Below are 15,644 nucleotides of genomic sequence, written 5' to 3' on the forward strand. Positions count from 1 at the left end.
CAGTTTGCACCTTGGTCTCCTCCCATCTCCCCACCGTACTGTCCTGTTTGTCCTGAGGATGAGGAAACAAAGCAAGCCTCTGTCTGTCCCTCAGGACTCACTGAACTGCCCTTCCCCTCTGCTGGGCCATGACCACGGAGAACAGGTCCACTGTCCTCCCTCCTCTCTGCGTGTTGCATGACGGAGGCTCAGACTCTGCCCTCAAGGCTGGCAAGAAGACAGGGTGAGACATGAGCCTCCTGATACAGGTGACGGGTGTGGAGCCCACAGGACTGGAACCTCACACTGCAGGGCTGGAGGCACAGACTGAGTATTGACTATTCTATGGCCTGGGGTGCTCAAGGCACAGAGCTCCTCATTAGCCAAAGTCACCCAAGTTCCCCAATCTCTACAGATTTCCTCATAAGAATGCAGGAAGAAGAAGAGAAAAGGGAGTGTCCATAGAAGCTTTGGGGCTCTTCCTGTCATCAGGAGGAAGCTTGTGTGTATTATTCCCCTCTTTCTTTTCTTTTTAAAGATCCAACTGCTTTCATTTTCATCTTTTACTATGGGAAAATAGACCACGTATCAATACTAAAAGTTATAAATCTATATGATTTCATCTAGAATGGCCAGTATAAACATTGACAATTTCCACTATTTTTCAGTTGACAGTTGAATGACATTAAGTACATTCACATTGTTTAGCAACCATCACCGCCATCATCTCCAGAGCAGTTTTATCTTTCAAAATGGAAATTGCACCCATTCACCAAACTCTCCATTCCTCTCTCTCGCCCACCCCGGGGGCCACCATTCTAATTTGCAACTCTATGAGTTTAACTACTCTAGACACTTGATAGAAGTGGAATCATACCGTGGTGAATTTTTTTTTTTTTTTTTTTTTTTTTTTTTGAGACAGAGTTGTTCTCTGTCGCCCAGGCTGGAGTGCAGTGGCGTGATCTCGGCTCACTGCGACCTCCACCTCGTGGGTTCAAGCGATTCTTTTGTCTCAGTCTCCCGAGTAGCTGGGGTTACAGGCGTGCGCCACCACGCCCAGCTAGTTTTTGTATTTTTAATAGAGAAGAGCTTTCACCATATTGGCCAGGCTGCTCTTGAACTCCTAACCTTAAGTGATCTGCCTGCCTCAGCCTCCCAAAGTGCTGGGGTTACAGGTGCGAGCCACTGAGCCTGGTCGTGTTTATCCTTTTGGGATTTATTTATTTCACTGACGATAATGTCTTCAAGTTTCATCCATGTTGCAGCCTGTGTCAGAAGTGCCTGTCTGGTTTTTTGTTTTGTTTGTTTTTGTTTCATTTTGTTTTGTTTTGTGTTTACATGGAGTCTCACTCTGTCACACAGGCTGGAGTGCAGTGGCGCAATCTGGGTTCACTGCAACCTCCGCCTCCCGGGTTCAAGCGATTCTTGTGCCTCAGCCTCCCGAGTAGCCGGGACTATAGGCAAGCGCCACCACGCTCGGCTAATTTTTTGCATTTTCAGTAGAGACAGGGTTTCACCAAGATGTCCAGGCTGGTCTTGAACTCCTGACCTCAGGTGATCCGCCCACCTCGATCTTCCAAGATGCTGGGATTACAGGCATGAGCCACCGCACCGGCCAGAAGTGCCTGCCTTTTGAAGGCTGAATAGTCTTCCATTGTATGAATGCACTGCAGTGTGCTTTTTCGTTCATCTGTCCACGAACCCTCGGGTTGCTTCCACATTTTGGCTGTTGTGAATAATGCTGCTATGAATATGGGTGCACAAATCTCTCTTCCACTCCTGCCTTCTAATTCTTTTTGGTAGGTACCCACAAATGCAACTGCGGGAACATCTGATCATTCTGTTTCTAATTTTTTCAGTACATGCCATAGTATTTTCCCTGTTCCTTCACGGTTTTACATTCCCTCCAATCATATTCGAGCATTCCTACTTCCCTCTAGTCTCACCAATGCTTGTTTGTTTATCATATCCATCCTAACGTGTGGTATCACATTCTTGGGTGATTTGCGCTTCCCTATGATGAGTGATTTTGAACATCATCTTAGATGCTTATTGGCCATTGCTATATCTTGTTTAGGGACACGTCTACTCGAGTCTCCTGACCATTGTTAATGGGATGCTTTGGGTTTCTTGTTGTTTAGTTCTAGCTGTTCTTGATGTATGATGGATATTAGCCTCTTTTCAGATAGATGATTTGCAAATATTTTTCCTAATCCATGGGTTATCTTTTCACTCAGGTCACAGTGTTTTTTGCTGCACAGAAGTGTCTGTCATTTAGATGTAATCCAAGGAATCTAATTTTCTTTCGTTGCCTATGCTTTTGGGGTCGTATCCCAGAAAGCATTGCCCAATCCAATGTCATGAAAGTGTGGCCAATGTTTTCTTTTAGGCCTATGATACTTTTAGCACTTGGGGTTAGGTCTTTGATCCAGTTTGTGTTAATTTTTGCACCTGGTGTGACATAGGGTCCACCTTCATTCTTCTGCATGTGGAAATCAAGTTCCTCTGACACCATTTCTTGAAAAGGCTGCTTTTCCACCAATGAGCTTTCTTAGCACTCATGTGAAAAATCATTTGAACATATAGGTGAGAAGTTATTTCTGGGCTCAAAAACAAACAAACAACAAGAGACAACAGATAAGGATACAGCATGGGCCGGGTGCGGTGGCTCACTCCTGTAATCCCAGCACTTTGAGAGGCCGAGGCGGGTGGATCACGAGGTCAGGAGATCGAGACCATCCTGGCTAAGACGATGAAACCCCGTCTCTACCTAAAATACAAAAAATTAGCCAGGTGTGGTGGTGGGTGCCTGTAGTCCCAGCTACTTGGGAGGCTGAGGCAGGAGAATGGCATGAACCCAGGAGGCAGAGCTTGCAGTGAGCCGAGATCGCACCACTGCACTCCAGCCTGGGCAACAGAGCGAGACTCCATCTGAAAAACAAAACAAAAGAAAAAGCATGTTGGCCAGGCGGGTCTCCAACTCCTGGACTCAAGTGATCCGTGTGACTCGGCCTCCCAAAGTGCTGGGATCACAGGCCTGAGCCACCACACCTGGCCAAGGTTTCCGTTTTTCCTACATAGAAGTGAGGACATGAAATATTTGTCATTCTGTGCCTGGCTTATTTCATTTAATATACAGACCTGCAATCTCATCCATTTTGTCTGCAGCGGAGAGGATTTTCTTCCTTGTTAGGCTGAATAATACTTCATTGGGTGTGTATACCACAGTTTCTTAATTGAAACAAATTTCTAAAGAGCAAATATTTTTAAAATGTCTCGGAATGTGAAACTTCAGGGATACTGTGCCCATTTTATTCTTTTCTATTTCCCATCTTATGTATATGCAAGTGTATAACAAAGCAGCAATCAACGTGTGCATAAATCTATAACTTCAACAAACGTAACATGTAAATGCTAAGTGGTGGCTGGGCGGGGTCGCTCAGGCCTGTAATCCCAGCACTTTGGGAGGCGGAATCGGGCAGATCACCTGAGGTCGGGAGCTCAAGACCAGCCTGACCAAAATGGAGAAACACTGTCTCTAATAAAAATACAAAAAAAAAAAAAAAAAAAAAATTAGCCGGGCATGGTAGCGCATGCCTGTAATCCCAACTACTTGGAAGGCTGAGACAGGAGAATCGCTTGAATACGGGAGGCAGAGGTTGCAGTGAGCCGAGATCGTGCCATTGAACTCCAGCCTGGGCAACAAGAGTGAAACTCTGCCTCAAAAAAAAAAAAAAAAAAAAAGGAAAAGAAAGAAATAGAAAATGTGAAATGGTAAGAAAAAACAGCCTAATAGACATTTTTATGGTGTTGATGGACAATGCATTTGAAGATAATATTTGAAGAAATCATATTACGATTAATTTCTCTTCTTACTCATTGGAGCTTGATGCCTCTAAAAACTTCGTCATTGGAGGCCGGGCGCGGTGGCTCACGCCTGTAATCCCAGCACTTTGGGAGGCCGAGGCGGGCGGATCACAAGGTCAGGAGATTGAGACCATCCTGGCTAACACGGTGAAACCCCGCCTCTACTAAAAAATACAAAAAAATTAGCCGGGCGTGGTGGCGGGCGCCTGTAGTCCCAGCTACTCGGGAGGCTGAGGCAGGAGAATGGCGTGAACCTGGGAGGCGGAGCTTGCAGTGAGCCAAGATGGCGCCACTGCACTCCAGCCTGGTCGGCAGAGCGAGACTCTGCCTCAAAAAAAAAAAAAAAAACAAAAAACTTCGTCATTGGAACCACCTCTGGTGCTGTAAAAGAAAAAAAAAAAATCCGCATACTCACACAGGTGCAAGTAAATCAGAATCTCAGGTATTGAGACCCAGGCCTCATCATTTGTAAGCTCCCCAGGGGATGGGACTCAAAGCCAAGACTGAGGAACGGTGACATGGATCTCTACACATAACCTGCCTAAATAGATTCTCTAGAAGCAGTTCATAAAGAAATTCCACATGAATTCCGGAAGAGGATATGAATTTGATGTACAGTATGTCCTCACTTAACATCTTTGAAAGTCTCTTGGAAACTTCACCTCGAAGCAAAATGATGTACAGTGAAACCACTTATTCCTAATCCACAGTATAACTACACAACTTTGAACACACCAATGGTGTTGGAGGACCTGCTGTACATTGTTTCCATAAAGTCAATTTTCAGGGAATTCCAAAATGAAGTGAGGACTTCGTGTTTATAAAAAGATGGTTGTGATTCCACCTGGATGACAAGGTCATTGCTCAGAAACTAAAGGAGGCTGCCTAGGCACAGAGGATTCTGTCATGAGGTTTCTGCTAAACAAAGGATCCCAGAATACTCACCCATTCCAGTTAAAGGCATAACGAAGAAAGCAATGTTCACAAAGGAAATGCAGAAAGGAATAAAAGCCATCAAGTCACAAAAAGAATGTGACTAAGGGGTAGGATTTGCAGACTTAGAGATTTAATGTGGTTGCCCTTTCTCACCCACACAAGAAAAAGGATGGAACAGATCATGAGATTCGACTGTTGTGCTGCGCAGCCTCTGCAGGGCACTTTGAATGTCCCTGTTTCTCAGGCTGTAGATGAAAGGGTTCAGCATGGGGGTGACCACAGCGTACATCACTGACGCCACCACACCATTCCTGGGGGGTGGTGCCACAGCTGAAGTCAGGTGCACGCCAATGCCTGTTCCATAAAATAAGCAAACAACTGCCAGGTGAGAGCCACAGGTGGCAAGGGCTTTATACTTCCCATCTGATGATGACATCCTTAGAATGGAGGGGACAATTTTATAGAAAGACAAAAGGAACCCTGAAATGGGAAGAAAACCAAACATAGTACTATCGAAATACATGAATATTCTATTGATGACACTGTCAGAACAGGCAAGGTTGAGAAGTTGAGATGGCTCACAGACAAAAGTAGAGATTTCCACATTCTTGAAGATGGTGAATTGTAACACAATCCAACTGTGCAGCTGGGAATCCAACAGGCTAAGGAAAAAGGACACCAAATGAAGAAGACACAGAGGGTGAGGATTCACAATGACTGGGTAGTGCAGAGGGCGACAGATGGCTACAAAGCAGTCATAGGCCATCATGGTCAGGAGCATGTCTTCTATACATGCAAAAAGGACCAAGAAAGACATCTGTGTCAGGCAGCCCGCATGAGAGATGACTCTGCTATGCAACTGCATGTCCACAGTCATCTTGGGAACCGTGGCCGAGGTGAAACTGAGGTTAGCCCAGCACAGGTTGGAGAGGAAGAAGTACATGGGGGTGTGGAGGTGGGAGTCAGGGTTGACAGCCAGGATGATGAGCAGGTTCCTCAGCACCGTGACCAGATACATGGACAGGGACAGGGACAGCAAAGCAAGGACCGGCTGCAGTTCTGGATCCCCTGAGAGTCCCAGGAGGAGGAATTCTCAGACACCTGTGAGACTCCGTGGCTCTGTGTGACTTGGACACCTTGAGAAGGAAAGAAGATTGGAAAAATAAAAGACAAAAAGCAGCCCTTCATGCTGAATGCAAGCAATTCACAAGGAACATTTTCACACTTGCAGACCATACACCGCCAGCAATGTTTCTCAGTTGTGACAAATCCAAAAATCTCAGAATTGTTACATGTTTTACTTTTTTGCTATTCAACTCTTTCTGTACATACTACTTTAGAGAAAATCCACTGAAGAAGGTTAGAAGACCAAAACATCATATATAACAAATCCGTGATCTCAGTAAAATACGGCCCACTCTTTTCAGAAAAAATAGAATGCAATGAAAATGTTCTTCTCTTGAAGAAAAAGATCTCAGTCTAATTGGAAGAAATTAAGAAGCCGTGAAATACACTCTATTTTATTCTGACACCGTGCTACAAATTCCTTTGATGTGGAATATGTAGAAGGATGATACAAGAGCTAGGACCGCATTATCTAAAAATGAACTCGAAACTTAAGAGTTCTTCATTGGAAGACCTTTTCACATGCCAGTTACTTTTCATATTTATTATCATCCTTAGGTTTCCTGACATCATTTCTTCATAAAAGTACATGCACACTCAAATATGGGAGCTGTGTTTCCAAATGAATTGAATATATAACTCCTGGCCGAGCGCCATGGCACACACCTGTAATCCCAGCACTTTGGGCGGCCGAGGCTGATGGATCACCTGAGGTCAGGAGTTCCAGACCAGCTTGGCCAACGTGGTGAAACCGCTTCTCCAGTGAAAATAAAAAGAAATTAGCCGGGCATGGTGGCGGGTAACCCTAGCTACTCGGGAGGCTGAAGCAGGAGAATCCCTTAGAACCTGGAAGGCAGACATTGGACACCCTGTGATAGGATTTTTGATATCCTAGGGAGATATTGCTCCTGACAGCAGAGTGGGCGTACACCCTGTGATATTATTTGTAATATCCTAGAAAGATATTGCTCCTAATATCACAGTGGCTGTACACCCTGTCCTGTGATATTAATTGTAATATCCTACAGAGATATTACTCCTAATAATACAGTGGGTGTACACCCTATGGTATTATTCATAATATATTACGGAGATATGACTCCTGATATCACAGTGAGTGTACACCATGTTTGCACACCCTGTGATCTTATTTGTAACAACTTAGAAAAATATTACAGCTAATATCAAAGTGGGTGTACACCCTGTGATGTTATTTGTTATCTACTAGGTAGATATTAATCCTAATATCACAGTGAGTGTACACCATGTGTGTACAGACTGTGAAATTATTCATAATACCCTAGGAAGATATTACTCCTAATATCACAGTGGGTGTACACCCTGTGATATTATTGGTGATCCCCTAGGGTGATACGATTCCTACTATTACGGTGGGTGTACACTCTGTGAGGTTATTTGTAATGTCCTGGGAAGATATTACTCCTAATATCAAAGTGGATGTACACCACGTGTGTACACTCTGTGATATCATTCGTGATATCCCAGAGAGATATTTCTCCTGATATCACAGTGTGTGTACACTCTGTGATATTACTTGTACTATCCTAGAGAGATATTGCTCCCAGTATCACAGTGGGTGTACACTGGGATATTACCAATAACATCACCCATGTAATTTCTCCCTAGGATGTCACGAGTAACATCTCAGTTCATACACACATGGTGTACACCCACGGTGACATTAAGGGTAATATCTCCCTGGGATATTACCAATAACATCAGTTACAATATTGTATTGTCAGAACTGCAAATTATTGCTGAGTGTGGATTGCTCTGAAATCTGAAAACATGCCTTGTGAATTGCTTATATCCAAAATGCAGACACAATGCTGGGTGTTGGTTTACTTGTTTCCGATTTCTCAACCTCTTTTCTAGGCAAAAGGTGTCCAATCTCTACAGACCCACAGAATCTAACAGATGTCTCTGTATTCCTCCTCCTAGAACTACAGAGGATCCAGAACGGCAGCCGGTCCTCACTGGGCTGTTCCTGTCCATGTGCCTGGTCATGGTGCTGGGGAACCTGCTCATCATCCTGGCCATCAGCCCTGACTCCCACCTCCACATCCCCATGTACTTCTTCCTCTCCAACCTGTCCTTGCCTGACATCGGTTTCACCTCCACCACGGTCCCCAAGATGATTGTGGACATCCAGTCTCACAGCAGAGTCATCTCCTATGCAGGCTGCCTGACTCAGATGTCTCTCTTTGCCATTTTTGGAGGCATGGAAGAGAGACATGCTCCTGAGTGTGATGGCCTATGACCGGTTTGTAGCCATCTGTCACCCTCTATATCATTCAGCCATCATGAACCCGTGTTTCTGTGGCTTCCTAGTTTTGTTGTCTTTTTTTTTCTGTCCTCAGTCTTTTAGACTCCCAGCTGCACAACTTGATTGCCTTACAAGTGACCTGCTTCAAGGATGTGGAAATTCCTAATTTCTTCTGTGACCCTTCTCAACTCCCCCATCTTGCATGTTGTGACACCTTCACCAATAAGATAATCATGTATTTCCCTGCTGCCATATTTGGTTTTCTTCCCATCTCAGGGACCCTTTTCTCTTACTCTAAAATTGTTTCCTCCATTCTGAGGGTTTCATCATCAGGTGGGAAGTATAAAGCCTTCTCCACCTGTGGGTCTCACCTGTCAGTTGTTTGCTGAGTTTATGGAACAGGCGTTGGAGGTTACCTCAGTTCAGATGATGTGTCATCTTCCCCCAGAAATGGTGCAGTGGCCTCAGTGATGTACACGGTGGTCACCCCCATGCCGAACCCCTTCATCTACAGCCTGAGAAACAGGGATATTAAAAGTGTCCTGCGGCGGCCGCACGGCAGCACAGTCTAATCTCAATATCTTCTTATCTGTTCCATTCCTTTTGTAGTGTGGGTTAAAAAAGGCAGAAAGGTCAAATAAGAATGATATCACAGGTGAACACCCACTGTGATATTAGGAGTAATACCTCCCTGGGATATAAAAAATACCGTGACGGAGTATACACACATGGGGTACACCCACTGTGATAGTAGAAGCAATATCTCCCTAAAGTATGAGGAAAAATATCACAGGGTGTGCATACTGTGTGATATGAGGAGTAATATTTACCCTGGATATTATGACTAATATCAAGGGTGTACACACACGGGGTACACACACTGTGATATCAGGAGTTGTATCTCCCTAGGATATTACAAATAATATCACAGGGTATACACTATGTGTGTACATCCACTGTGATATTTGAAGTAATATCTCTTTATGAGATTACAAAGATTATCAAAGGGTATACACCCCAGTGACATATTAGGAGTAACGTCCTTCTAGGGTATTACAGATGACGTCACAAGGTATACATCTTCTGTGACATTTTGTACACCGTTTGTGACATTAAAAGAAACATCCCCTTAGGATATTACGAATAATGACACAGGCGGCTTACACACATGGTGTACACTGCCTGTGCCATCAGGAGTACCATTCCCCTAGGATATTATGAATAATATCACAGCAGGTGTACACACATGGTGTACACCCCATGTGACATTAGGAGGAACATGCCCCTAGGATATTAGGAATAGTATCACAGGTGTTGAATATGCATGATATACACCCCCGGTGATATTAAAAGTAACATCCCCCTAGGATATTATGAATAATATGACAGGGAGTACACCCTCTGTGACATTAGGAGTAACATCCCCTGAGGATATAACGGATAATATCAGAGGGTGTACATGCATTGTGACCTTAGTAGTAACATCTCTTTAGGATATTACAAATAATATCACAGGGTGTACACGCATTGTGACATTAGGAGTAACATCCCGCTGGGTTATGACGAGTCATATCACAGGGTGTACACCCCTGTGACAATAGTAGCAACATTCCCCTAGAATATTACGAATCATATCACAGGAGGTACAGCCCCTGTGATTTACGAGTAACATGTCTATAGAATATTACAACTCATATCACTGTGTGACTCTGTGTACATCCCATGGGACATTAGGAGTAACATCCCACAAAACTATTACAAATAATATCACAGGGTGAACTCCCCCTGCGACATGAGGAATAACCTAGTTTTAGGATATTATGAATGGTATGACAAGGTATACACACCCTGTGATGTTAGGAGCAAAATCCGTCCAGGATATTAGGAATAATATCACACGGAACACACCCCCTGTGTCATTAGGATATTATGAATAATATCACAAAGTGTACATGCATTGTGACATTAATACTAATATCCCTCTCGTATACTATGAATAATATCACAGGGTGTACATCCCTGTGACACTAGGAGTAACATCCCCCTAGAATATAACAAATAATATCACAGGGGGTACACACCCTGTGACTTCAGGATTATCACCGCCCTGGAATATGAGGAATACTGTCCCAGGTTATTAATCCCCTGGGACCTGAGGAGTAACATTCCGCTGGAATATTATGAATAATATCACAGTGTGTACACCAACTGTGATATTAGGAGTCCTATTTATTTTTACGATATTAGGAGTAATATCACAGTAGGTGTACACAAATAGTTTGTACACCTACTGTGATATTAAAAGTTATATCTCCCTAGGGTATTGTGAATAACATCACAGTGAGGGTACACCCACTGTGATATTTGAAGTAATATCTCCCTAAGATATGAGAAAAAATATCAAAGGGTGGACCCCGTCTGTGACATCAAAAGTAACATCTCTGTGGATATTCCGAATAATATCACAGGGTGTACACAGCCTGTGACATTAGGAGTAGCATCCCCATAAGATATACTGAGTAATATCACAGGGTGTACACCCTGTGTGACATTAAGAGTAACATCTTCTTAGGATATTATGAACAACATCACAGGGTGTACGACCCCTGTGACTTTAAAAGTATCATCCCCCTAGAATATTATGAATAACATCATGGGTGTACACCCCATGTGACATTAGGAGTAACATTTCCCTAGGATATTATGAAGAATATCACTGGGTGTACACCCTCTGTCATATTAGGAGTAACATCTTTCTAGGGTATTATGAATAATATCACAAGGTGTACACACACTGTGATATTCGGAGAGATAACTCAATGGGATATAAGGTATCATATCACAGAATATACACACATGGTGTACACCCACTGTGATATTAGAAGCAATATCTCCCTATGATAGTATGAGAAATATCAAACGGAGTACACTCTCTGTGATATTAGATGTAATGTTTACCATGGATATTACAAATAATATCACAGGGTGTACACACATGAGGTACGCCCACTGTGGTATTATTTGTACTGTCTTAGAGAGATATAACTCTCTAATATTACACAGAGAGCTATGACTCTGTAATATCTCTAAGATATTACAAATAATATCACAGTGGGTGTACACTATGTGTGTACACCCACTGTGAGATTTACAGCAATATCTCCCTATAAGACTACAAATATTATCAAAGGGTGTACACCCCCTGTAACCTTAGGAGTAACACCCTTCTGGATATCAGGAATAATACCATAAGGCATACACACCTTGTGACATTTTGTACACACTTTGTGACATTAAAAGTCACATCCCCCTAGTATATTATGAATAATATCAAAGGCAGTTGACGCACATGGTATACACATCCTGTTACATTAGGCATAATCTTTTTCTGTGATTTACGAATAATATCACAGAAGGTGTACACACATGGTGTACACTCCAGGTGACATTAGGAGCAACATCCCCCCAAGATATTAGAAATAATATTACCAGGGTTGCATACACATGGTGTACTCTCCCTGTGACATTAGCAGCAACATTCCCCTAGAATATTACGAATAACCTCAGAGGGGGTGTACACACATAATGTACGCACCTTGTAAAATTAGGAGTAGCATCTCCCTACGATGTTATGAATAATATCACAGAATGTGTACACACATGGCGGATACCCCATGTGATGTTAGGAGTTACATCTTTCTAGTATGTTAGGAATAATATCACAAAGGTGTTCACACATGGTTAACAGCATATGGAATATTAGGATTAACATCCCTCGAGAATATTACAAATAACATCACAGGGGTTGTGCACACATGGTGCACAAGCCCTGTGACATTAGGAGTACATTTCCCTGACACATTACGAGTAATATCAGAGAGAGTGCACCTTCTGTGACATTTGGAGTAAAGTCCCCTAGGATAGTACGAATAATATCACAGGGTGTACATCCCCTGTGACCTGAGGAGTAACATCTTTCTAGGATATTGTGAATAATATCACAAAACGCACAGCCCCTGTGACACGAGGAGTAACATCCACCTAGGATATTAGGAATAATATCACAGGGAGTACACCCCGTGTGACAGTAGGAGTAACCTCCCCCGAGGATATAACGAACAAATACAGAGGATGTACACGTGTCGTGACATTAGCAGTAACATCCATTTAGGATATTACGAATATTATCACAGTGTGAACACCCCCTGTGATATTAGGAGTAACATTCCCCTACAATATTGGGAACCATATCATACGGTGTACACCCCCTGTGACATTAGATGTAACATTTTGTTAGGATATTATGAATAATATTACAAGGTGTACAGCCCCTGGGATAATAGGAGTAACATTTCCATAAAATATTACGAATAATATCACTGTTTGCACACCACGGGTGACATTAGGAGTAACAGCCCCCAAAACTATTATGAATAACTTCACAGGGTGTACACCCTCTGTGACATTAGGAGTAACATCTTTCTAAAATATTACGAATCAAATCGCAAAATGTACACCCCCTGTGACATTAGAAGTAACATCACCCTAGGCTATAAGAAATAATATCAGACTGTGTACCTGCATTGTGACATCAGTAGTAACATCCCTTACTACTGATTTTTACGAATATTTTCAGAGCGTGAACACCTTCTGTGACATTAGGAGTAACATCACCCTATAATATTGGGAATAATACCACACGATGTACACCGCCTGTGACATTAGTGGTAACATTTCTTTAGGATATTACGAATAATATGACAGGGTGTACAGCCCCTGTGATATTAGGAGTAACATATCCAAAAAACTGTACAAATAATATCACTGTTTGTACACCACGTGTGACATTAGGAGTAACATCCCCCCAAACTATTATGAATAACTTCACAGATTGTACACCCTCTGTGATATTAGGAGTCAACATCTTCCTAGAATGTGAAGAATAACATCACAGGATGTACACCCCCGTGACATGAGGAGTAACATCACTCTAGGATATTATGAATAATATAACAAAGTGGACACAATGTGTATGGTGGGAGTAACATCCCCCTGGGATACTACGAATCATAGCACAGAAAGCACACCCCCGTGACAATAGGAGTCACATCCCCTTAGGATATTATGAATAATATCACAAGCTGTACAAGCATTGTGACATTAGTAACAATATCCAGATAGTATATTGTGAATAATATCACAGCGTGTACACATTTGCGATATTAGGAGTAACATCTCCCTAGAATATTACGAATAATATCACAGGGTGTACACATCCTGCGACTTTAGGATAATCATCCCCGTGGATAACTACAAATAATTTCACAGGATGTTAAACCCCTGTGACAATAGGAATAATATACTTCTAGGATATGATGAATAATATCACAGTGTGTACACCCACTGTGATATGAAAAGTTATACCTCCCTCAGATATTGTGAATAATATCACAGGGTGTACACCACGTGTGCACACCTATTGTGATTTTTAAAGTAATATCTCCTTAGGATATTACGAATAATATCAAGGGGTGTACACACCCTATGACATTAAGATAACACCCCTTTAGGATATTCGAAATAATATCCCAGGGTGTACACCCCATGTGACATTACAAGTAACATCTTCCGAGGATATTACGAATAAGATCCCAGGGTTGACATCCCCTGTGATTTTAAAAGTAAAATCCCTCTAGAATATTACTAATAATAACACAGGGTGTACACCCCTGCGACATTAGGAGTAACATCCTTCCAGGATATTACGAATAATATCAGAAGGTGTACACACATGTTGACATTAGTAGTAATATCCCACTAGTATATTGTGAATAATATCACAGGGTATACACACCTGTGACATTAGGAGTAACATCCCCCTGGAATATTCCACATAATATCACAGAGTGTACACCTCCTGTGACTTTAGGAGTATCATCCCGCTAAAATATTACGAATAATGTCACAGGGGGTTAGCCTGTGTAATATCACAGGGTGTACAGCCCCTGTGACATTAGGAGTAACATCTTTCTAGAACATCACAAGTAATATCACAATGTGTACACCCCCTGTGACATTAAAAGTAAAATCCCCCTAAGATATTCCGAATAATATCACAGGGAGTACACCCCGTGTGACATAGGAGTAATAACCCGTGAGGATATAATGAATAATATCAGAGGGTGTACACGTATTGTGACATAAGTAGTAACATCTCCCTAGGATATTATGAACAATACCAGAAGGGGTACACCCCGGGTGACATTAATTTCTGTAACATTCCCCTAGAATATGACCAATAACATGACATGGTATAGAACACCTGTGATTTATGAGTAACATTTCTATAGAATATTACAAGTAATATTCGGTGTGCACCCCGTGTGACATTAGGAGTAACATCCCACGAAACTGTGACGAATAATTTCAAAAGGTGTACACCCTCTGTGACATTAAAAGTAACATCTCGCTAGGATATTACGAATAATATCACAGGGTATACAGACCCTGTGACATGAGGAGTAATGTCTTTTTAGGATATCACGAATAATATAACAAGATGTACACACACTGTGATATTAGGTGTAACCTTCGTCTAGGAGACTGCGAATACTATCACAGTGAACACACCCCTTGTGACAATAGGAGTAACATCCCCGTAGGATATTATAAATAATATCACAAGGTGTACACACATTGTGACTTCAGTGCTAATATCCCTCGCATATACTGTGAATAATATCACAGGGTGTACACGCCTGTGATATTACATTAGGAGTAACATCTCCCTAGAGTATTACGAATAATATCATAGGGGTACTCACGCCTTTGGTTTAGGAGTCATATTGCCCTAGGATATTACAAATAATATCACAGTGTGTGCACTCACTGTGATATTAGGAGTCCCATTTTCCTAGGATATTATGAATAATATCACAGTAGGTGTTCACACATAATGTGTACACCGTGTGTGTACACCCAATGTGATATCTGAAGTCATATGTCCCTGGGATCTTATGAATAATATCAAAGGGTGTGCACCCCATGTGACATTAAAAGTAATGTCCCTTTTGGATATTCCGAATGCTATCACAGGGTGTGATATTAGGAGTGTGATATTAGGAGTAACCTCTTCCTAGGATATTACAAATAACATCACAGAGTGTACACCCCTGTGATTTTAAAAGTAACACCCCCCTAGAATATTACGAATAATATAACAGGGTGTACACCCCCTGTAACATTAGGAGTAACGTCTCCCTAGGATATTATGAATAATGTCACTGGGGGCACACCCTCTGTGATATTAGCAGCAACATCTTTCTAGGATATTACGAATGATATCACAGGGTGTACACTCACTGTGATATTAGAAGGAATATCTCCCTAGGATATAAGCTATCATATCACAGAGTGTACACACATGGTGTACACCCACTGTGTTATTAGA

General features: G+C 42.2%; 2 pseudogenes across 1 annotated transcript, besides 1 other annotated feature; one reads left to right on the forward strand and one right to left on the reverse strand.

Moving 5' to 3' along the window:
* Window positions 1–501: an enhancer, noted in NCBI's record as "H3K27ac hESC enhancer chr13:42009037-42009537 (GRCh37/hg19 assembly coordinates)". NCBI's record gives its function as "activates a minimal SCP1, AML or CMV promoter by ChIP-STARR-seq in primed H9 embryonic stem cells {active_cell/tissue: H9 hESC(primed)}" and the evidence as "EXISTENCE:reporter gene assay evidence [ECO:0000049][PMID:30033119]".
* Window positions 4,937–5,962, reverse strand: OR7E155P (olfactory receptor family 7 subfamily E member 155 pseudogene; annotated as a pseudogene).
* OR7E37P (olfactory receptor family 7 subfamily E member 37 pseudogene) lies at window positions 7,664–8,866 on the forward strand (annotated as a pseudogene). Its single transcript, NR_002163.3, has one exon. The product of NR_002163.3 is annotated as an olfactory receptor family 7 subfamily E member 37 pseudogene (transcript).
* Window positions 8,867–15,644: the final 6,778 nt, after the last annotated feature.

The sequence above is a fragment of the Homo sapiens genome, chromosome 13 (assembly GCF_000001405.40).
Source record: "Homo sapiens chromosome 13, GRCh38.p14 Primary Assembly".
Classification (NCBI taxonomy): domain Eukaryota; kingdom Metazoa; phylum Chordata; class Mammalia; order Primates; family Hominidae; genus Homo; species Homo sapiens.